Here is a 25,006-nt window from a genome sequence, read left to right on the forward strand (position 1 = left end):
TTACATTTCTTGGTTATTGTTCTCTAGGCAAGGAAGGTTTTTCCTCCTTCCCTTTCTCCCCTTTCTCTCCTTCCTCCTGGCTTTCCTTAGGATTTGATCATATAATTTTGTTGGTTTTGGTCATTATCTCCTAGTAGGCATATCACATTGTAGACAAGCAGAACATTCTCTATTCTCCTTAGTCCTCTGAATTGTAATTATTGGTCAACTGTGTATTCCTCAAAACTGTTGAGGTTCATAAGGGTAGGAATTGTGTCTGAATTTTGCTGGTGCTTAGAATGCTGTCTCCTTTAGTGCTAACTGAACGAGAAACCCAAATCCTGGCCTATTTAACCCCGTTCTATAAGAACAACGTTATTTCCCCATCAGTTCCCTTAAGATGGTATAACTAGGGCTATACTGCCTTTCTCCTAAAAGCGGTTATACTTCATAGAATAATAGAATCTCTATTTCAATACCAGCTTTTAGGTAAAATGTATTGTGTTTACAATATGTTACTTTGAGATTTAAAATAATTATATGGTCGAAACTCTTGTAATAGGTCTTGTAATAGGCTTGTAATAGGTCTCATGATATGTACAGATTCAGGCTTGTTACTTTTATTTTATCAAAATTTGACAATTTATGTCTTCCTCTTTGATTCCCCAAACCTGAAAGCAAGTCCACTATTATAAGACAGCAAATGTCAATTAGCAATTATTTTCACACTAGCCTTATTTTATAGTATTCAATTTTTCTGCCCTTGCCCAATTTATCACTTATTCTCTAAGAGCGAAGACTATTTTCCAAGCACCTTCACCAAGTTTAGGGACCAGAGCAAGTGGTCCACCATTAAAGGCTAGTGTTAAAAGCGCTCCAAAGTCATGTCCTAAGCAGTGGTAATTTCCTAAGTGTTTCTTGCACTTAACAATTGCCAAGTTTATTTTGTTGGCAATGCCTTCCATTTTCTTCACTTTTTTTTTTTTTTTTTTTTTTTTTGAGACGGAGTCTCGCTTTGTCGCCCAGGTCGGACTGCGGACTGCAGTGGCGCAATCTCGGCTCACTGCAAGCTCCGCTTCCCGGGTTCACGCCATTCTCCTGCCTCAGCCTCCCGAGTAGCTGGGACTACAGGCGCCTGCCACCGCGCCCGGCTAATTTTTTTTTTGTATTTTTAGTAGAGACGGGGTTTCACCTTGTTAGCCAGGATGGTCTCGATCTCCTGACCTCATGATCCACCCGCCTCGGCCTCCCAAAGTGCTGGGATTACAGGCGTGAGCCACCGCGCCCGGCCCACTTTTTCAACTCCTATCCATCTTTAAAACTCATGAAGCACTTTCAGACTACTTTAGTTCATTCATTTGCTCTCTCTTCTCTGAGCACCTATAACAATTTTGGCATCTCCACTCATCAATTGTTTGCATTGGTATTGTACTTTTTCACTGTTACTGTGTCAGACTTATCGAAGATAATTTTATGCAGATTTTTGTGTGTTTCCTCAATAACATTTAGAACTCCTGTAGTGCAAGGACCTTTGTTTCTTTGTGCTTTCTACTGTAACACAGTTAAATGTTTTTGTAAAATTTAATTTAATGGACACATAGCACAAATTCATTTAAAATAAAGTTCTGAGGCTTTTTCTGATCAGTCCAGCTTGCACCGATTTTTCTATTTTCTGTCCTTTGGTGGCACCTGTCATTTTACCAGGAATCAGCAAACATTTTCTGTTAAAAGCCAGATAGTATTTTAGGCTTTGTGGGCCATGTTAGTCTCTGTTGCAGCTACTCAGCTCTGCTGTTTTAGAGTGAAAGTAGCCACAGACAATATGTAACTGAATGTGTCTGTGTTCTAACAACACTTTATGGACACTGAAATTTGAATTCCACATAATTTCCACATGTCATTAGTCTCTCTTCTCCCCCTGCCCTCCACCTTTTAAAAATGTAAAGATCATTCTCTGATCCTGGGCCATGCAAAAATAGGTGGTGGGCTGGATTTCCCGTAGGCTGTAGTTTGCCAACCCAGTTAGTTCTATACTTCTACTGTCTTGTAGTAGAAGGAAGGTAGGTTTTAAAATCAACAAACTAGGATTCTCTTCCTGGCTTTACTACTTACCGCTTAACTGGTGCAAACTTGACTTTATTTTTTTTTAAATGTAGATAATAATGCTAGCCTCATAGAATTTTTGAGGAGAAAATGAGATGATTTATGTGTAGAAATATTATTTAAATTGGAAAACTGTCTAATGGAAACTTACTGTATTTCCTCAATTCTAAGATACATTTCTTTTTTACATTTAAATTGATAATGTCTTTTTTTTTTTGAGACAGAGTTCTCACTCTGTCACCCAGGCTGGAGTGCAGTGGCATGATCTCGGTTCACTGCAACCTCTGCCTCACAGGTCCAAGCAACCCTTCTGCCTCAGCCACCCGAGTAGCTGGGTTTACAGGTGTGTGCCACCACGCCTGGCTAATTTTTGTATTTTTAGTAGAGACAGGGTTTCACCATGTTGGTCAGGCTGGTCTCAAACTCCTGACCTCAAGAGATCTGCCCACCTTGGCCTCCTAAAGCATTGGGAGATAGTGTCTTAACAATGCTGTTGGTCAGGTAACAATTCTAACATGGTTCTCATTGCCTGAACATAAGTGAACACCAAAACCAGAATCAAAATTTACAAAACGTATACATGTTGAGAACTTCTTAGAGGTAAAACTGGACTGCTCTTTTAACCACTAGGAACTGAATGCTTGTGAGGAGGCGTGGGTGTTCAATCGGGTGGGTTGAGCAACATTCCTAAAGTGAGAGTCAAAAGTAAGGCTGAGGCCAGGCACCATGGTTCATGCCTGTAATCCCAACACTTTGGGAGGCTGAGGTGGGAGGATTGCTTGAGCTCAGGAGTTCAAGACCAACCTGGGCAACATAGCTAGACCTTGTCTCTACCAAAAAAAAAAAAAAAAGTACGGGCTGGTGCAGTGGCTCACGCTTGTAATCCCAGCACTTTTGGAGTTCGAGGTGGGAGGATTGCTTGAGCCCAGGAATTTGAGACCAGCCTGGGCAACATAGTGAGACCACATCGCTACAAAAAGTTAAAAAATTAGCCAGGCATGGTAGCATGTCCCTATAGTCCCAGCCACTGGAGAGGCTGAGGTGGGAGGATGAATTGAGCCCAGGAGGTTGAGATTGCAGTGAGCCATGATCGTGACACTGTACTCCAGCCTGGATGACAGAGGGAGACCCTGTCTCAAAACAAAACAACAACAAAAAAAGTAAGATAGCTCTAAATAATTGTAAAGCTGGCATATGAACTGGTGTTTAGTTATATGAAACATTCCATCACCAATGTTCTTGTGAGGCACAGAAAACTATATTGGTCCAAGTGATTCAAAAGAGAGTGGGACTCCAACTATGAAGAAATGGTCAGGAATACCTTAAGTATTTTATTCTGCTTTCATTTATATATATTATATATATGTCTCCATAAGTAATATATAATGGATCTATATAAGTGTAAAAGAGCTATTTCTTCTATAGAAAAATAGAATGAATTCTTTTTTATATAAAAAATGTAAAATGAATTCTAAGTGATAAAGTATTGTGTCATACTTGATAGTTCTTTTTCTTAGTTTTTCATCTTACAAATTCTTTTTCTTAGCTTTTCATCTTACAAATTGATGGTGCCTTGTACATACTGTATTTCATCTATTCTAGCAACAAGATTGTGATCTGCTTGTTTAGTTTTCTTAATTGTAAACTCCTTTTGTATGTTATTTACTTGTCCTAAGGCAGTTAGCATTTAGGAGCTCAATAAACATTTGTTGAGTGAATGAATGACACTCAGATGCAATGGAAACATCACATTTTCCCAATAGCAATAGTTTAGAATTGTCCATCCTGAATTTAATAGAGAAGTAAATGGGAGGGAGGAGCCATAGACTTAGAGTGAAATTTAAAAAATATGATTATTGAAAGCTTGCAAAAATGAACTCGTGCCCTATTTATATTCTTTTGTGATTCCATATTTATATCTCTCTGTCTTTATTCTTTTAAGAAATATATCTTAGGTGGCTGTGAGGATTAAATTTGTATAATGCTTATAAAGTGCCTAGTACATATACATGTCTAGCTTGTTTCATTTAATCCTTTTCATTCCTTTAATTAAACAGCTTTTCCTTAAGCATAAGAACCATTGTTCATTATATATAAAAACCACTTTTAATTGAGTTTTTCTCTGTTAATTAACTGAACTATATTATTAGCTGGGTTTCATAAAAAATGGCATTTTAGCATATTATGGATAAGTAGGCTTGGGAGTGGAGCTACTCATAGAATTTACCAATATTTTATAACACTGTTGGGAGAAATGTGTCTTGGTATTCCCACCATCAACTCATTTTTAAGTTGGAAAATCTCTATACTAACATTTTTTCACTGATTATTGGGAATTCTAATCTTTTGTGGGTAATTAGAGGATTTGTACTTTTGCCTCTTCCCTAACCAGATTGATGTTTAGTAAGGGTGGTACTTTAAATTTTTATAGCATTTGATTTAACAAAATCTTCACGCCAGATATCATCCTTGTGAATCCTTTTCCCATCTAATTATATTAACATGTGTTCCACAAGAAAGACTGGGTGTGCCGTTTATGAGCTCTGATGGATTATTTCATAGCCATAGTGTACAGTGACTGTTTACCTATTTCCCCCCTGCATGAGCTCTTTGAAGGAAAGGACTAAATTTTAATCAATGGGAACTTCTAGTCTGCTTGTTTCCCTAGTGCCTAGGAAGTATATCAGGGCCTGCCATGCAGGATGTACTCAAAATGTCTCTTCAATTGAATTGAGATTAAATTAGCTGCTTATATAAGCAAATTGTGACTGGAAAGAAGCTCTGAAATGATTGCCCTAATGATATTTACTGTTTGCTTATGAAGTATGTCTTTTTTTTTTTTTTTTTTTTTTTTTTTTGAGACAGAGTCTCACTCTGTCACCCAGGCTGGAGTGCAGTGGCGCAATCTCAGCTCACTGCAACCTCCACCTCCCGGCTTCAAGCGATTCTCCTGCCTCAGCCTCCTGAGTAGCTGGGATTACAGGCACATGTCACCACAACCGGCTAATTTTTGTATTTTTAGTAGAGATGGGGTTTCACCATGTTGGTCAGGCTGGTCTCGAACTCCTGACCTCGTGATCCACCCACCTTGGCCTCCCAAAGTGCTGGGATTACAGGTGTGAGCCACCGCGCCTGGTCTGAAGTATGTCTTTTATTCTAGATCATCATGACATTCAGATGAGTCTGGGGAGGGGATCGTATGGCTGTTGGTCTGAAATATACTTCATTAGAGGCTTTTATATGAACCTCATTGGTTTTTAAACTTGAAACCTGCTTGTTTTCTTGCTGTTTTGGCAGAATAGTAGCTTACATAAATGCTGACTATTGGGTAATGCCACACACGTTGATTTTGAGGGTAAGCAACTGCATTAGCCTTTGCAAAACATCAAAAAGTCTGTATTCTGTCTGTTCTCTTGCTTTCATTAATGGTGTTTCAGTGGCTTTTTTTTTTGTTTGAGGCCAGATCATTTTAGAAAAGTTGTCATTATATCTTTTTTTTTTTTTTTTAACTTTTCGAGTTGTAGAAAAAGAAGTTAATAATTATGTTGTTTTCCTGTTGGGTGAAAGGTGGAAATAAAATTTAGAAAATTTATTTTCTAATTTAGGCAAAGTACAATTCTTTATTATCAAAGGTATAAGATTACACCTGTTCTCCCTGTGCTACAGCAGTCTGTGTTTATCCATGCACTTTAAGCAAAGTATATTTTTATGTGGTCTGACTCAGCAGGTTGGAAGTTCCTATGGCTTAAGTATCTTATCTGAAGATGGTTTTAAGTGAGGTAAGGTTTCATTTATTTGCTTGAAAGCACATCATATATTGGGCTGTACGTGTCCTGTTCTGCTTAATGCAAGACATTTTGTGAAATGCTTCTGTTTCCATTTTTGGATTCCACGATGCTCAACACAGAAAAGTAATAGTAATGGGAGCTAGGATTTTCAAGCACATGGTAAATCAGTATTTAATAAATTAGAACTCTTTAAGAAGGCCTTCTGTATTCTCTGTCTGTGAATGGCATCAGGAAAACTTGAGAGTTTTCCTTGATTCTTCCTTCTCACTTCACTCTTCAGCTCCCTGTGATCATGATCATAATAGTTCTAAACCTTGACTTTGTTCTTAGTCTATATGGTGCTCAACCTTGCTACAAGGTTCTTCTCCCAATCATTACTATCCCTACAGCAGGAACCAGTCCTCTTCCTAGGGATTTTCAGGGTGTTCATTGCCAGCTTTGATGATTTCAAGAATGGGGAACTTAATATTATTTTGAGGATAGTATTGAAAATGGTAAGGAAATAACCCTGAGAGTCAGATTCTAGCTCAGCTACTTCCCATGGTCTTAGACAAGTTATTTAAACTCCATTGGCCTTAGTTTTCTCGTTTGGAAAATGGGGATAATAATAGCTACCCCAGAGGCTTGGTGTAGAAATTAATTCCTGTGTTTATCTCCATTGTCTCCTCAAATTTCATTAAGTTATAGTAATTTGGAAAAAGGAATAAAGCTAAAGGACAAAGAAGAGTAGGGATATAAGATGCTAACAAAATTTAGGAAGCTAGAAAGCAAGTTGATAAATATTTAGAAGAGAAAACTGAAAACTACTTGTAGAAAGAGAATGAAAGTGCAAGCTAATCCATATCACTATCCTATAAAGGCTCAAGAATTCCAGGTACTAGGTGCCTGTGAAAGGGGGCTTAGAGTTTTCTTCTAAGAGTTTTCTAGTTTTGGCTCATACATGCAAGTCTGTGATCCATTTTGAGTTAATTTTTATGTATGATATGAGGAATGAGTCCAACTTCATTCTTTTGCATGTGGATATCCAGTTATCCCAGTATGATTTAATTGAAAAGGTTTCTTTTCCTATACAGTTATCTTGGCATCCTTGTCAAAAGTCAATTGACCATAAATGTATGTGTTTGTTTTTGAACCCTCAATTCTATATCATTGATTTATATATCGATCAGTATACTGGTACTACACTGTCTTTTGATTACTGTAGCTTTTTGTAGTAAGTTTCGAAATCAGGAAGTATAATGTTTCCAACTTTGTTCTTTTTTAAAAAACTTATTTTGGGTCCCTTGAATTTCCATATGAATTTTAGGGTGAGTTTGTCAACGTCTGCAAAGAAACCAGGTGTAATTTTGATAGGCATTGCTTTGAATCTATAGATCAATTTGAGAAGTATTGCCAACTTAATAATACTCAGTGTTCTAATCCATGAACACTGGATGTCTTTCTTTTTATGTCTTTTTTAATTTCTTCAACAGTATTACATAGTTTTCAGTGTTTAAATCTTGCATTTATTTGGCTATATTTATTCCTGCATATTTTATTCTTATCAGTGGTATTGTAAATAGAATTGTCCTCTTGATTTTATTTTTGGATTGTTAATTGCAAATTACAGAAATACAATTGATTTTTATATATTGGTCTTATTTTCTGAAACCCTACTGAAATTGTTCCTGTGGTTTTTTTAGTGGATTCCTTAGGATTTTGCCCTACACATTTTAACATGTATAGGTAATATACAAGTCCAAGTTTAATCAATATCTCTGCTGTTCTTCTGAAATAATACAATGACTTTAGCAACCTGTGGCAGGTGGAATAACAACATCCCCAGGATGCTGAGGTCTGAATCCCTGGAACCTGTGAATATGTTATTTTACATGGCAGAGAGGAATTAAGGTTGCAAATGGAATTAAGGTTGCTAATCAGCTGACCTTAAAATAAAGAGAATATCATGGATTATTTGGGTAAGCCCAGTGTAATCACTGGTGTCTTTTAAAGAGAAGGAAACAGAAGACCAAGTCAGAGCCTGAGAGATTTGAAGATGCTGTGTTGCTTGCCGGCTTTAAAGTGGAGGAAGAACCTGTAAGCCAAGAAATACAGGCTGCCTCCAGAAGCTGGAAATGGTATTTAGACCTCTCAATCTGGGCACTAGACTAACTCATTGCTACTATTCTGGTTATTGCTTATAGGCCTTTGTAGTAGACATATCTAGAATCGTGAGTTCATATTGATATTTCTTCCTTTTTCTCTTTTTTTTTTTTTTTTGAGATGGAGTCTCGCTCTCACCCAGGCTGGAGTGAAAGTGGCACTATCTCGGCTCACTGCAACCTCCGCCTCCCGGTTTCAAGCAATTCTCTGCCTCAGCCTTCTGAGTAGCTGGGATTACAGGCGCCTGCCACCACACCTGGCTAATTTGTGTATTTTTAGTAAAGATGGGGTTTCACCATCTTGGCCAGACTGATCTTGAACTCCTGACCTCATGATCTGCCTGCCTCGGCCTCCCAAAGTGCTGGGATTACAGGGGTGAGCCACTGCGCCCAGCCCATACTGATATTTCAAAAGGAAGGACAAAAGGAATCAAGCGTTCACCCTGACATTTTCATTTCAAAATTAAGATTATAGGGTTTTTTACTTTTTTGATTTTTATATAATTATCTCTTCCCTTAACAACGAAAGTCTTGGTTCCTAATGACATTAACCTAACTACCTATTTGCTTTATCCAAATATGTATGTATATGGTGCTCAAAATAACAAACTGTGCTACCATTAAAAATAACCAACAATATGATTACTGAATACTGTTTAAAATTTATTTTCAGTTCTTTTTTTTCCTTAAAGTATATTTATCCCACTAAAGATGTGCAGTCAAATAATTGTTTTTAAAGTCACTTGGAATAATTCTTAATACACCATTAAGGTAATTTGTTCTCTTTTATGTTAATTGTGGTAATTGATTTGTACAAAGTGTTTAACATGCTTATAAAACAAAAATTATTTACATGACTACAATGTTGAAGTATAAAACAATATATATTCAGGAAAGTATAGCTTTTTTGTTTGTAATATCCTACAAGTAACTATTTTCATTAGTCTCTGCTTTTATCAATGCACTTCAAAATATGTAAACATACAGTTATATTTCCCCCTTACATAAAAGATAACATTGGCCAGGTGCATTGGCTCACACCTGTAATTCCAACACTTTGGTAGGCCAAAGCAGGCAGATCACTTGAGCTCAGGAGTTCAAGACCAGCCTGGGCAATGTGGTGAGACCCTGTCTCTATTTAAAATTAAAAAATATAATAAATAAATAAAATAGCATACATATGGTTCTGCATATTGCTTTACTTATTTATTTATTTATTGAGACAAGGTCTCACTCTGTCACCCAGGCTGATGTGCAGTGGCGTGATCATGGCTCACTGCAGCCTTGACTCCCTGGGCTCAAGCTGTTCTTCCACCTCATCCTCCTTAATAGTTGGGACTGCAGGTGTGCACCACCGTGCCCCCTAATTTTTGTATTTTTCATAGAGACAGTGTTTTGCCATGTTGCCTAGGCTGGTTTCAAACCCCTAGGCTTAAGCAATCCACCCACCTCGGCCTCCCAAAGTGCCGGGATTGCAGGCATGAGCCACTGCACCTAGCTTGCACCTGGCTTGCCTACTGGTTTTTAAAATTTAAGATATTCTAATCACTTCTTATTAGTACACAGAAATCTTTTCCATTATTTTCCCTGCAGTTGCATAGTATTCTGTTGTATGGACATAACCCAGTGTATTCAGCCAGTCTCCTGTTGATGGCCATTGGGTGTTTTTCATCCTTTTCTCTTTCAAATAGTGCTGAAATGAGCAAAATTTACTCATATGTCATTTAGTATTTTGGGGGTTAGGGCCACTTTTAAGATAATTGTCTTTAATGTTCTACAGTTTTACCATAATGTATTACTTCTCTTTAAATCTTGTGATTCACTGGGCTTCATGAATCTGTAGTTTGATGTTTCCTCAGTTCTGAAAACTTCAGCCACAGGTTAAACATTCCTAATCTGAAAATCTGCACTGCTGCAAAATCTGAAACTTTTTGAGTGCTGACATGACACAAGTCAAAACAGAGCAAGAAATGATGTCAGTTTATAAAATGAGAGACAGACTTTCAAGACAAAAACCATTGTTAATGAAGCAGATGACTGGAAAAAAATTTTTAGAAAGCCACCTAGCAGCATGCATTCTCATCCCTAGAGGACCCACCTTCTGGTCCCTTGATAGGGTTAGAATGTTTGTCCCCTCCAAATCTTACATTGAAATGTAATCACCAATGCTGGAGGTAGGGCCCAGTGGAAAGTATTGGGTCATGGGGGCAGATCCCTTATGAATGGCTTAGTGCTATCCCCTTGGTAATGAGTGAGTTCTGGTTCTGAGTTCAGTCGAGATCAGGTTGTTTAAAAGAGAGTGGTGCAGATCCCTGCTGTCGGCTCCCACTCTTGCCATGTGATGTGGCTGCTCCAGCTTTACCTTCCACCGTGATTGTAAGCTTCTGAAGCCCTCACCAGAAACAGATACTGGTAGCATGCTTCTTGTACAGCCTGCAGAACTCCAAGCCAAAATAAACCTGTTTTCTTTATCAATTACCCAGCCTCAAGTATTTCTTTATAGCAGTGCAAGAATGGACAACACAGAAAATTGATACCGAAGAGTAGGATGTTGCTATAAAGATAACTGAAAATGTGGAAGCAGTTTTGGAACTGGATAACGGGCAGAGGTTGGAAGAGTTTGGAGGACTCAGAAGAAGACAGGAAGATGAGGAAAAGTTTGGAACTTCTTAAAGACTTGGTTAAATAATTTTGACCAAAATGCTGATAGAAATATGGACAGTGAAAGCCAGGCTAATGAGGTCTCAGATGGAAATGAGGAGTTTATTGGGAACTGGAGTAAAAGTCATCATGTTATGCCCTAGCAAAGAGTTTGCCTGCATTGTGTTGTTCATGCCATAGGAACCTGTAAAAAGTTGAACTTGAGAGTGATCAAGAGTATCTGGCAGAAGAAATTTCTAAGCAGCAAAGCATTCAAGAGGTGACCTGGCTGCTTCTCACAGCCTGGTATCAGATACAGGAGCAAAGGAATGACTTAAAGTTCGACTTTATAGGCCAGGTGCACTGGGAGGCCAAAGTGGGAGGATTGTTTGAGTTCAGGAGTTTGAGACCAGCTTGGACAACATAGTGAGACTTCGTTTCTACTAAAAATAAAAGAAGTTATCAGCTGGATGTGGTGGTATATGCCAGTAGTCCCAGCTAGTCCAGAGGCTGAGGCAGGATGATCACTGAAGTCTGGGAGATTGAAGCTGCAGTGAGCTGTGATCATGCCACTGCACTCTAGCCTGGACAACAGAGTGAAACCCTGTCTGAAGAAAAAACAAAGTTGGTACTTATTTTAAAATGGGAGCAGACTGTAAATGTTTGGAAAACTTGCAACCTGGCCCTCTGGTAGAAGAGGAATCCAGGAGGGCTTTGGAGTAACCACTTACTAGAGAGATTTGCATGACTAAAAGGGAACCAATTGTTAATATCTAAGACAATGGGGGCAAGGTTTCAAAGTTGTTTCAGATGTCTTTGGGAAGGTCCCTCTCATCACAGGTCCAGAGACCTAGGAGGAGAGAATGGTTTCAGGGCCCAAGCCCAGGGCACTGCTGCCCTGCTCAGCCTCAGGACTCTGCACCTTGTATCCTGGCTACTCATGCTCCAGCCAGGGCTCAAAATGCCCCAGGCACAGCTTGGGCCGCTGCTCTAGAGGGCACAAGCACTGTAAGCCTTGACCACTTCCATGTGGTTGGTAAGCCTGCATGCACATAGAATGCGAGAGTGAGGAAGGCTAGGTAGCTTCTGCCTAGATTTCAGGGCATATATGAGAAAGCCAGGGTGCCCAGGTAGAAGCCTGCTGCAAGGGCAGAGCCCCTGCAGAGAAACTTTGCTAGGGCAATGCTGAGGGGAAATGGGGGGTTGGAGCCCCCGTCAAAGACCCCACTGGAGCGTCACCTAGTGGAATTGTGGGAAAGGGGCTGCCACACTTCAAACCTTAGAATGGTAGAGCCACCGGCAGCTTGCATCCTGAGCATGGAAAAGCTGCAGGCACTCAGCTCTAACCTCTGAGAAAAGCTGGCAGGGCTATACCCTACAAGCAATAGGTAGAGCTGCCCAAGGCCTTGGGAGCCCACCCCTCACACCAGTGTGCCCTGGATGTGGGACATGGAGTCAAAAGAGATTATTTTTGGAGCTTTAAGATTTAATGACTACCCTGCTGGGTTTCAGACTTTCATAGGGCTTGTAGCACCTTTCTTTTAGCCAGTTTCTCCATTTTGGAATGGGAATGTTTACCCAATGCATGTACCACCATTGTATCTTGGAAGTAAATAATTTGTTTTGGTTTTACAGGCTCATAAGTACATCTCAGGCTGCTTCCACCTTATAGGTGGAAGGAGATGAGTCTTAGATGAGACTTAGGACTTTGGACTTGATGCTGAAACAAGTTAAGACTTTGGGGGAACTATTGAGAAGGGGTGATGGTATTTTGCAATGTGAGAAGGAGATGAAATTGAGGGGCCAGGGGCAGAATGATATGGTTTGGATGTTTGCACCCTCCAAATCTCGTGTTGAAATGTAATCCCCAATGCTGGAGGTGGGGCCTAGTGGGAGGTGTTGGATCATGGATGCAGATCCCTCATGAATGGTTTATTGCCATCACCTTGGTAATGAGTGAGTTCTTGCCCTGAGTTCTCTCCAGATCTGGTTGTTTAAAAAGAGTGTGGCACCTCCCCCTTCTCTTGCTTCTGCTCTCACCTTGTGACACAGATGCTCCCACTTCACCTTCCACCATGATTATAAGCTTCCTGTGGCCCTTACCAGGAACAGATGCTGGTACCATGCAGAACCATTAGCCAGTTAAACCTTTTTATAAATTACCCAGTCTCAGGTATTATGTTACAGCAAGAACAGACTTAACACATCCCTCAGCTGCTTCTGATGTTTCTTCTCACCTAAAAAAATAAAATACCGTGTTCAGTAACTTTTTAATCAAACACAACATTGTAGGTGGGAGACTGAAAGCCTGCCATTGTTGGTTGTTGCTTTTATTTAATAACTGGTAGAGGTGTTCTGTGATGTTACTGTGCTGGTTGGTTACCCTGAGTACATTATGTTTTTTCACTGTATTAATGGTATGTTGTATCTTTTACTGTTAAGTACTTATGTGTGAATAAGTGTAATAAAAATGATTATTAGTAACGTGTAAGTTCAATCAGGAATGATGGTGATGCCAAACAACCATAGATTTTCCACATGGGTGGCTAAGATAGTGACACCGTTGCTTTCTGATGGTTCAGTTTACACAAACTTTGTTTTGTGCACAAAATTATTAAAAACATTGTTTAAAATTACCTCCAGGCCATGTGTATAAGGTCTTTATTAAACATAAATGAATTGTGTGTTTAGACTTAGGTCCCATCTCCAGGATATCTCATTGTGTATATGCAGATAATCCAAAATTAAAAAGGAAACAATAAACTGAAATTTGAAACCCTTCTGGTCCCAAGCATTTTGGATGAGGGATACTCAACCTGTACGGCCTCTTCAAATACTGCTTTTATTTCACTGTCTTTATTTCCTTTCAGAACTTCAGTTTGACATATTTAAGACTTATTTACTCTTCCCTTCATATTTCTTAACTTTTGTATTTTCCATCTTCTATTTGTATTTTGGATTCTAAATGTATCTAGATGTATCTGAACAAATTCACTACTAGTTTACGCTTCTCCTTAGCTGTGTCTAATATGTTAAACTTGACTATTTGTTTTTTAATTTTAATTCTTTTCATTCTAGGAGCTTGTTTCAAGTTTCTGTTCATTTAAATGTGTTAAGCAGTTATTTTATATTGTATTTGATAATTTCTTTATGTGAACTCTTTACAGGTCTGTTTCCTCACGTATTTTATGCTTTTTGATTGTGAGATGGTCATTTGCCTTGGAACTTTCTTAAAGTTCTTAGTCCTAGAATGAAGATTGATTCTTCAAAGAGGATTTGCCTTTGTTTCTCTTGGGGGTCCTGAGGGCACTACCAGTTGGATCCACTTTACATTCTCATCTTGAAACTTCTTGGGATATGTAAATGATATGTATTTAGCTCCATATCAGTTTGAGAGCTGTCTTTGTTTTTTCTTGCTTCTCCCTTCTCAATGCTAAGTTTTAAGACAGGCCTTTTTTTATTTTATTTTTTATTTTTTAATTTAATCCTGAGATTGTGGTAAGAAGCAGAAAGTTAATTCTGTTTCAGCCTTTCACTGAGCTTATGATTCTTTGGGATCCCAGCTTGATGGAGAAAGGTTTCCTACTGGGCTCCGCAGCAAGACTTCCCACCTCGGGCTTTGTGTCCTGTTCTGTGTGCATCGCAAAACTTCAAGTTCAGACAGTTGGCAAATGCCATCAAGGTAAAAGCCAGATTTAATGGTCTAAGTGCCTCTCTGGATTCCCACCTTACTTAACTTTTGACCTGGGTCTTCCCTGTTCCTTACTTTCTTGCCAGCTCATCTATGCGTTTAAGAAGAACGAATGACTATATAATTACAATATATAAGATCATTATATATAATTATTTAATAATTATACACTATGATTGTATAAATATAACATCTATTTATATAATATTTTTCACACAAATACTTACATATAATTTTAGCCAATATTTCTCAAGTTGGATCTATTAATTACCATAGACAGAAGCAGTCCCTAATATAAGATGTCTATACTCAGGCAGACTGTCAGTCATTGTGTGAAAATGGGGAACGCTATTTTCAACATGCAAAGTTTCAAAATTAATGTCCCTTTCTCATGAAGCTGATGGAGGATGTGTTTCATCAAAATAAGAGACTACAACAAGAAAAATATGGGATATGGGATAAGGGATTCAACACAGGTGAAAGGCAAGAAGAATTCCTGAGATGATACTAAATTGTTAGCAGTTCATTATATCAGACAGCAGGCAGTCCTATTTGGAGCAGATGAATGGAGGATGCCAGAAATGGAAATTTGAGTGAAAAATAGACCTGGTAGATTATTTAATGTGAATGACCAAATATTAAGAGAAGTTTTACAGAATTCAAAGGCTTTATTTGTTTAAAATTGTGAAATACTCATACAGAAAAGTAAAGTATATATGTACAGTTCAAAGAATAATAAATTCTCATGTGTCCGTCACCTAGCTTAAGAAATAAAACATTATCAGCACCTTAGAAACCTGTTTGTCTCTCCTCGAGAGCATCTCTGTTTCCCACACTGGTATTGAATTGCATGATAATCAGTGCCTGGCTTTTCTTTATTGTTTTACCACTTGTGCATGTATACATTAAAAATACATTATTTAGCTTTGCCTGTTTTTGAACACTATTATTAATGGAATTATACAGGATTCAGTCTTCTGTGCTTATTTCTTTCTCTAAGTATTTTTCAGATTCATGTACTTTTAAATTTATTTTCACTGCTATGCTATATTCTATTACCCAGATACATCACAGTTTGTATATTCTATTGGTGATGCATATTTAGCTTGCTTCTTATTCTTTGCTTTTATAGACATGTGTCTACAAACATTCTTATATGTGTGTTTTGATGCCTATGTGCAGGAGGTTCTCTGTAAAGTAAAATTACCAGGTTGAAGGACACCTGTCTAATTTTATTAGGTGATGCCTTACAGTTTTCCAAATAATCTTCCCTGTTTCCTTGTTAATACCTGTTAATGTCTGGCTTCCTATATTTTGTCAACATGATGGATGTGAAATATGATACTTCACTGTAATTTAAATTTTATGTATCTTAAATTGGAAACCTTTTCATATCTTTATGGGCTGTTTGTGTTTCCTCCTTAGGGAAAAGCATATTAATGTCTTTTGCCTATCAAAAAGTTTTGGGAAACAGTTAGTGACACTTTAATAGAAAACTAAGCAAACAAAATTAAAAAGACAATTATTCTGGAAAAAAGCAAAAAGTTGTACAAGAAGTACAATTGGTATACCATGTGGCTCAACTATAAACAGTGTTTCTATAATGACTAACAGGAAGTACTTACTAATAATCACTTTGCAAAGCTTACAGTTGAAGAAATTGAGACAGATTAATTTGCCAACAGTCACATAGCTTGTAATTATTGGAAATGAAATTTAGACTAAAAGAATCTGACTTCAGAGCCCATGTTCTTATCCATGAAACTATGCTTATTTCTCTCTGTATGTAGCCATAGTATGAAAATGGCATATAGTTTAATGAAAAGGATTTTATTTTAATGAAGTTCAAGTCCTGTGTCTTTTTTATCACTTCTGCTTTGGGTGTTGTATCTAAGAAATTGTTGCCTAACCTAAGATCACAGAGTTTTACTCGTTTTTTACTTCTCAGAGTTTTATAGTTTTAGCTCTTGTATTTAGGTTTATGATACACTTTGAGTTAATTATGTATATGGTGTGAGGAAGGGGTCTGGATTTGTACTTTTGCATGTGGATATCCAGTTGTCCCAATATCATATCCCCCATTGAATTTATCTTGGCCCCTTTGTTGAAAATCAGTTTGTTACAGGAAAGGGGTCCCAATCCAGACCTGAAGAGAGGGTTCTTGGATCTCACTCAAGAAAGAATTCAGGGCGAGTCCACAGTGCAAAGTAAAAGCAAGTTTACTAAGAAAGTAAAGTGAAAGAACAGCTACTCCATAGACAGAGTAGGACGTTCCCGAAAGTAAGAGGAGGAACATATCCACTCTAAGTATAATGCTTGTATATATGGGGAGATGTGTTCTGCTACAAGGGTTTGTGATAAAGGATTAATTTCTTAATTAACTATTTTTGCAAGAATGGATATTATAAACTTTAAAGCAAAATTAGGAATGCCTTTGTTCTCCAGATATCAGGATAGCTGGAAGCTCCCAAGTGTGGGTCTGTTTAGTAAACATTATTAATTTGTTCCCTTAACCATAAACACCTAGAGGCTAGGAATGCCTAACTTTCTGAGAATGCAGCCCGGCAAGTCCCAGCCTCATTTTCCTAGCCCTCAGTCAAAATGGAGTGGCCTGGTTCAAATGCCTCTGACAAATTGACTATAAATACTAGTTTATTTCTGGACTTTTGATTGTATTTAGGTGATCTCTATGTCTGTTCTTATACCTGTACCACAGTCTTGATTGGTGTAGTATCCCATTCGCTTTTACTAGAAAGTTTATAAGGATTAAGTAAGGATTATTAGCCTCAAAGCTATTTAATAATAGTAATAAATATTTATTGAGAAACCCAGCTAAGTGCTTTATGCACATTAATTCACTTCAGACTGTCAACAGATATTAGTCATTGATGTGTATCAGGCTCTGGGCTGGGAATACATCAGTGAACTAATGGAGAACCTTCTTGCTCTAATGGATCTCACATTAGTGGTGAATTAATTGGGGTGACTGGAGGATAATAACAAATATGGGAATAAGATAATTTTAGAAAATGATTAGTTTTATGATAAATAGAACTGACTAATTTGAGAGTAACCAAGAGATGAAAGGGCATCTTTGATCCTCATAATAACGCCTATAAAATTGGTACTATAATCCCCTAACATGAAGAAACTCAGGCTTACAGAACTGAAGTGACTGCCCAAAGTCCCATAGTTTAATAAAGGCAGAACTGGGTTGTGAAAATAAACCTTTAGTTGGTAGCAAATGGAAAATGAATTCAGGTTCAGGAACTGATAAGAATGCAGTATCTCCTAATTCCTTTTCTCTTTCTGCTGGAAATAGGTTGTTAAGGTCAAATTATAGGCTAAGGGTTCTTAATTTGGGATTCGTAGATAGGTTTCTTGAAACCAGTGGAATTATAGCAAAATACATGTGCATGCATGAACCCTCTGGATTGAGGGTTCATAGCTTTCATCAAATTCTGAACATGGTCTGTGATAATAGCAAAAGATCCATAAACACATTTGATTCATGTGACTCAGGCAGATACCATATTTTCTTTGTGTCTTTCACAGCACCACTTTGTCTCCTCTCTGTCAAACTTCTTCCTTTGGCAATAGGAGGGGGGAGGAAATTATTTATTTATTTTGTTAGGTTTGAAATAAATTGTATTCTAACGTAAAAAAATTATACAGTTACCTACCAGAGTAGATTTTTATTTATAAACTGTAGGACTTAATTATTAATTTCTCTGTTCAAAACTTTAAAATTGACTTTGATTCTGCTGTCAATCATCTTTCATATCTTGAACATTCCCAAGATTTGTTCATTGCCTTTGAAAGGTCATTCTATGTTTTCTTGCTTTTAATTCCATTGCCAGTTAAGTCTCCCATTTTTTTCTCTTTTTTCTTTGTCAACCCTATTAACTGATCCCATCCTTTTCTAGCCAGGTTATTGCAACATATTTTTTCCCAGAATCAAGTCCATCTTGTGCCTGTAACCAGATTGATCTTTCTGAAATACTTTTATCTTTACATTTTATCGACTCTTCATTTTCTTTTCTTGTTTGTTTGATTTTTGGAGACAGGGTTTCGCCTTGTCCCCCAGGCTGGAATGCAGTGGTGTGTTCACAACTCACTGCATCCTTGATCTCCTGGTCTCAAATGATCCTCCTGCCTCAGCCTCCTGAGTAGCTAGAGCCACAGGTGCACTACCTAATTTTTTTTTGTTTTTAGTAGAGACGAGGTCTTGTTGTGTTGCCCAGGCTGGCCTCGTTCTCCTGAGCTCAAGCAATCCTCCCCCCTTGACCTCCAAAGTGCTGGGATTGCAGGCATCAGCCACCACGTCCAGCCTGGCTCTTCATTTTCTCCCATCCAAGTACTAACCAGGCCTGACCCTGCTTAGCTTCCGAGATCAGATGAGATCGGGTGCATTCAGGGTGTTACGGCCATAGACTGGCTCTTCATTTTCTAGGATATCATCCATGACTGTTGGGCCACTCCAAAAAATCACACACATACAAATAACCGGAAAAAGAACATATATTCCCCATTTTATTAAGCTAACATTCTTTCTCCACTATCTAATTGTGTCAGCTTCTTTTAGCTTTTCAAAAATACTGTACTATTCCCACCTCATTCCAGTTAGCTATTTTGTTGTTGTTTGTTTTCAGTGTTCCCTATGACAGGCAGCAGGCTGGGTCCTTATCTGCCTGAAATGTCTTATCCCTCTCTCCATCCCTATTTCTATCAGCGCAAATTCTTTCTGTCCTTCAATGCCTAGCTTAAGTGTGTCTGTGTGTGTTTTTTTAAGCCTGTCTTTCTTCTCCAAGCTGGAAGTAATCTTTCTTTCCTCCTTTGAACATTCACTGCACTTCAGCTGTACTTCTTAGGGTATTTAACTCTTTGTACATTTTGTTAGATATTTATGTACTTAATACTAACTTCTTGACAGCAGATGCATTGTCTCTCTAGTTTTATAATTGTCCCAGCATCCCCCATTATCCTATGTCAGTTCCAGCCTTATACACGTAATAGGTTCTTAGTAAATATTTTTTGAATGAATTAATCCTTTTTTTTGGGAGAGACAGGGTCTCACGGTTTTGTCCAGGTTAGAGTACAGTGGCTATTCACGAGTGTGATAATAGTGCACTACAGCCTTGAACTCCAGGGCTCAAGTGATCATCCTGTCTCAGTCTCCCAAGTAGCTGGGACTACAGGGGTACACCACCACAACCAACAATAAATTCTTCCTTTTAAAATGTAACTATATTAGTCTGTTTTACGCTACTGATAAAGACATATCCAAGACTGGGTAATTTATAAAGAAAAAGAGGTTTAATGGATTCACAGTTCCACATGGCTGGGGAGGCATCACAATCATGGTGGAAGGAAATAGGCATGTCTTACATGGTGGCAGACAAGAGAGAATTGAGACCCAAGTGAAAGGGGTTTCCCCTTATAAAGCCATCAGATCTCCTGAGACTCATTCACTACCATGAGAACAGTATAGGGGAAACTGCCCCCATGATTCAATTATCTCCAACCAGGTCCCCCCACAACACATGGAATTATGGGAGCTACAATTCAAGATGAGATTTGGGTAAGGACATAGCCAAACCATATCAGTAACTTAAACTTGTTATGCTTTTGAAAGTTCTTTCACTACTTTAAAATTCTTTCATTACGACCCCTTGAGGGGGGGAAGTTAGTAATTAATCTAAAAATTATAATTAAAAAAGGCCTACACAAACTATAATGACTATAAAGTATCTAGGCATAAAATAAGAAACTAAAGCTATTTTTTAAAATCAATCTAAACTATATCCCTAAAATTCACAATATTCTGTTCTGACTAAAATACAAAAATAATGTAAGATTCTTGCCACTTATGTAATGTCTAATAATACTAGTTACAAAATTAATTGAAGTCTTCTAGTTTATAAACAGTCATGTGTTTTGTGTGTGTGTGTGTGTGTGTGTGTGTGTGTGTGTGTGTGTGTGGACGAAGTCTCGCTCTGTCACCCAGGCTGGAGGGCAGTGGCACGATTTTGACTCACTGCAACCTCCGCCTTCTGGGTTCAAGCGATTCTCCTGCTTCAGCCTTCCCGAGTAGCTGGGACTACAGGTGCGTGCCACCATGCCTGGCTAATTTTTGTATTTTTAGTAGAGACAGGGTTTTGCAGTGTTGAGCAGGCTGGTCTCGAACTCCTGACCTCAGCTGATCTGCCCACCTCGGTCTCCCAAAGTGCTGGGATTATAGGCATGAGCCACCGTGCCTGGCCCAATTATGTGTTTAAAAGAAGGTGTTAGGGGTGTGCTAGAAAATCTCTGTGGGAGTAGGAGCAACCTTTGGAGATGGAGAATTATTGATTCCTTAAATAAATGGGAATTACTCATTTGGTGGAAATAAGTTGGGTAGTCCCTGGAACCTGTTTTTTTGTTTATTTTTATTTTTATTATTGTTTTTTGAGAGATGAGACCTCACTTGTTGCCCAGGCTGGATTAGAACTCCTGGGCTCAATTTATCTTCCCACCTCAGTCTCTCCCGAGTGGCAGGAACTACAGGCCTTTTTTTTCTTTTTTCTTTTTTTTTGAGATGGAGTCTCGCTCTGTAACCCAAGCTGGAGTACAGTGGCGCTATCTCGGCTCACTGCAAGCTCCGCCTCCCGGGTTCATGCCATTCTCCTGCCTCAGCCTCCTGAGTAGCTGGGATTACAGGCGCCCGCCACCACACCCGGCTAATTTTTTGTATTTTTAGTAGAGACGGGGTTTCACCGTGTTAGCCAGGATGGTCTCGATCTCCTGACCTCGTGATCTGCCCGCCTCGGCCTCCCAAAGTGCTGGGATTACAGGCGTGAGCCACCGCGCCCGGCTACAGGCCTTTTTTGTTTTTTGTTTTTTTTAAATGAAGGAAATTAGAAGTGGAGGGTGTTCTCCTGTGAATAATTTCTACTTATAGGAAGTAAGTTTTAACTGGTACCTGGCTAACTTGTAAAGGTTCTTTGGCATTGGCAGAATCAGCTATATTTAGACTACAAAAAGAAAACCTCTAATAATGTGCACTTAAGCCTTATTACTTTTCAGAAGCATAAATGACAGCATGAGAAGATAAAAGGATGAAAGGAGTGATACAGCATTGGGGTAAAGAGCAGAGGCTTTGGAGAGTGGCAGAACTGGATTTGAATTTTGTCACTACCATTTAGTAGTTGTGTGGCCTTGGCAAGTTACTTTTATGTCTAAATCTGTTTTTTCATCTGTTAAATGGGCATAAAAAGTTTTGTGAGGGTTAAATGGAATCACGTCTGTGAAGTATTTGGCACAGTGACTCGTTTGTGCATAGTGAATATTATGTACTATTACTATGATGATATCCTAGGTCCAGATATCAAAATTCATCCATGGATCGTTAGAATCCATTATAACATGTTTGGCATGCCATGTTATCGTTATAATCAAATTAGTGTAGGATAGGTAGATTTGTGAGTAACTTGTGAGTAAGTAGAATTCTAAGTTCTGCTTTTAGTTTTCCCATAGGATTTCAAGTGCAACCAGAAAAGCAAAAAAAGCAGGTCGAGGCTGAAGTTGCTGTTTACTTCACAATGTCATTTTTATTTCAGAAGATAGGATTATCCATCTACTGAGCAATTATCAAATGCTAGATGTATTAGATTCTTTAAAGGTAATTTTATTCAGTCTCTGCAATCCAAGGCAGAATAATTTGACCAAGTTCATAATGTGTCAGGAACTTGTAGAGAAATGGTAGGACTTATAAGGAATTTGAACTCCTCTGTCATTCCAAATCATGTACTCTATCTTTATATTTATAGTGCCTCTCTCAACATGGGGAACTTTAAAAATCCTCAGGGCTCAGGCCATAACACAGACCACTTAAATATGTTTCTAGAGGTGAGACCCAAGCATGAGTATAAAGTTCTCCAGGTGATTTCATTGTTAGATTCAGAAATACTGACCTGGTTCAATGCCTAGAACAGAGTAGACATTCAATAAATGTTTCACTTTTGAAAGAATATATCCCTTCCTACCCAGCCGCTGTGTTGTAATTTTTCCAGTATTATAGTCAACTAGGAGTGCTTTTATATTAAGTTTTTAGAAAGAGCTTTGTATCATACTTTGTAGATATTCTCCATAGCATATACAGGAAGATGTCTGGCAAGAGGTAATGTTTTGCTGCTGATAGAATTCTGAATTTCCTCCATTACTAGGAAGAAGAATAGGTTGGAAATTGGGACAGCTTGGAATTTCTTTCTTGTATTCCATCCAAGGTTGAAGACGTAAATTGTGAATAGACACTTACTGATTTATTTTGTTTTAGAATAATTTTATATTTTTTAATAATACATGATCAAAAATCAAAAGATAGTAAGGAACAGAGATTGAAAATTTTTCCTCTCATTTCCCAATCATACTTTCCTTTCCAAGATACCATAAATGTTGTATCAGTATCCTTCCAGAGATGTTGAAAACATACATAAACACTTACATGTATTTCACAATTTTACCCAAGTGATAGCACGCATATCGTGTTCATCTTGGAGTTATATATATGAATCTTGGAATTATATATTCATATATAAAGATTTTTATTAATATATTTGTTCATTTTTACAGTTAACTAGTATTTTTCTATATACTACAATTTATTTTCATCGGTCCCCTATTGATGGATATTAGATTTTTTCCAACTTTTCTCTATTACAAACGATGTTTCATTGAATACTTAAGTCATTTCACTTCTGTGTGAGCAATTCTTCAGATAAATTCCTGTAAGTTGAAGGTATTGATATTGCCAGTTTGCCTTCCATGGAGGTTGTATATTGATTGTTTGGGAATGACAAGGAAGCATGAAAGAGTATGGAGAATTAAATGTGTAAAGGAGTGATAGTGACCAAGACTATTGACTGTTGACTGAGGTAGGAATGATATTAAAGTCAGTTGGGAGGATGGAAATGAGCCTACAGCCAAGAGCAAGGTGAAAAACTAGCAGGTTTTGTGTGTATATGAACACAGAATTTATTTGTGATTAAAATATACTAATGAATTTTGAAAAATCCTAAAATTTTTACTCTTAAATCTATGTTTGGATTTAAATACATTTTAAAATACTTATTTAAATGCATTTACATTATTATGTAATACAATACATTAAATACATTTTTAATATGATACTTTGTGATGAACTCTTTATATCTTTAAGAGAAAATACCTTTGCTGTTTTCATTACTGACTTACATTTAGCATTTATTGACCAAGATTTTATCTCTTTATGCATAATTTTTCTGAAATGTCTCTCTCTTTTTTTTCCTCAGCCCTGGAAGAAAGCGGGACTTTTCCCCTGTTCCTTGGAGTCAGTATTTTGAGTCCATGGAAGATGTAGAAGTAGAGAATGAAACTGGCAAGGATATATCCTTTGCAAAATGGCTTATTCTTTAGTGAGCTTATGATGTTGTCTAAGTTAAAAGACTTGTGTAGTTTCTAAAATGTTCTTTATTCCTGCTACTTATTTCACCTTATTCCTCACTTGTTCTTTATGGAATATTGCCTGGAAGTCCATGCCAATATCTTTCTTGGCTGTAATTCTCTAATGCATGGAGAAGGGATTAAGAATTAAATTCTTGAAACTGATATACTGTCTTAGGGGCCCAGGGGAAGGTTTCATGAGTCAAGTGAGTTGAACTAGTTTCATTTCTAGAATCCAGGGGTTATGTCCTCATGAGGGCAAAGGGAATTTTTTTTTTTTTTTCATTGAACAAAATGGTCACACAGGCTTCATGCTTCAAACAGAGGGTTAGTGTCTCAGAAAAGTCTGCTTACATCTCTTACATTTGGCAGTCTGCAGTTTTGCATGTAAGTTTCTAGCGGTATTACTATGATTAAATAATGAAAAACTTTAGTGAGCAAAAACATAGATGTTTTATCTTTAACTATTCATACACTTTTCGAGTCTACAAGAGTGGTTCAGAGGGTCCAGTCCTGCTCCTTCTGCATGGAGGAGGTCATTCTGCCCTTTCTTGGGCTGTGTTCACGGTAAGTAGGTTGTTGATAGTACAAGTTAATGTTAGCACTTTTGAACTAATGAAAGTATAGGGACAAATCTTGGAAGTTAACACATTCTATTTGGGAAGCAGGAATTGCTATTCCAGGCATACACACAGACTGGGTGGTATGTTCTTCAGTATGTCTGAAGAACAAAGAGAAGGTTGGAGGTTTTATAAAAAGGAGAAATGTTATGTATTGTTCTTTGAGAAAGTTAATTGGCACTAGTAAAGGTTTGGGGAGAAAAAGAAAAGATAATAGGGAGTGATGGAAAATGTGAAAGAAAAATTTAAAAATGTTAAAAAAGGGTTTGGAAGCTGGCAAGTTCTGATTGATAAGTAACTGCGGTGAGTAAAACTAGTCTTAGAGTCACAGCAGCTTGTTTCAGTAGCTATTAGATAAAACTGGTTTCATATTTTAGCAGGGAGTTTCAGCAGCCAGGCTTGCAGAGAATTACTTACATTCTTGCAGCAATGTTATGTGCCCTGAGTGCTTTTTCTCTCTGGCCTCTCAACTCTGTTTTAATGGGATATGACAAGAATAACCCAATTTGTGTAAACTTCCATAGTGCAATTATTGTTTACTTCTTTGACTAGCCTAACTCTTCATTTTGTGTAGAGAACCAGACA

At 37.8% G+C, this 25,006-nt stretch overlaps 1 protein-coding gene and 1 pseudogene across 4 annotated transcripts in view; one reads left to right on the top strand and one right to left on the bottom strand.

Moving 5' to 3' along the window:
- Positions 1-25,006, top strand: part of PPME1 (protein phosphatase methylesterase 1) — an 83,415-nt gene that overhangs the window by 8,789 nt on the left and 49,620 nt on the right. For all 4 annotated transcript variants that reach the window (NM_001271593.2, NM_016147.3, XM_047427116.1 and 1 more), the window contains exons 2-3: positions 23,651-23,744; positions 24,276-24,368. In NM_001271593.2, the coding sequence (NP_001258522.1) occupies positions 23,651-23,744; positions 24,276-24,368 (187 nt within the window). The remainder of the gene's footprint in view (positions 1-23,650; positions 23,745-24,275; positions 24,369-25,006) is intronic.
- On the bottom strand, positions 18,671-18,777 carry RNA5SP343 (RNA, 5S ribosomal pseudogene 343; annotated as a pseudogene).

The sequence above is a fragment of the Homo sapiens genome, chromosome 11 (genome assembly GCF_000001405.40).
Source record: "Homo sapiens chromosome 11, GRCh38.p14 Primary Assembly".
Lineage (NCBI taxonomy): Eukaryota > Metazoa > Chordata > Mammalia > Primates > Hominidae > Homo > Homo sapiens.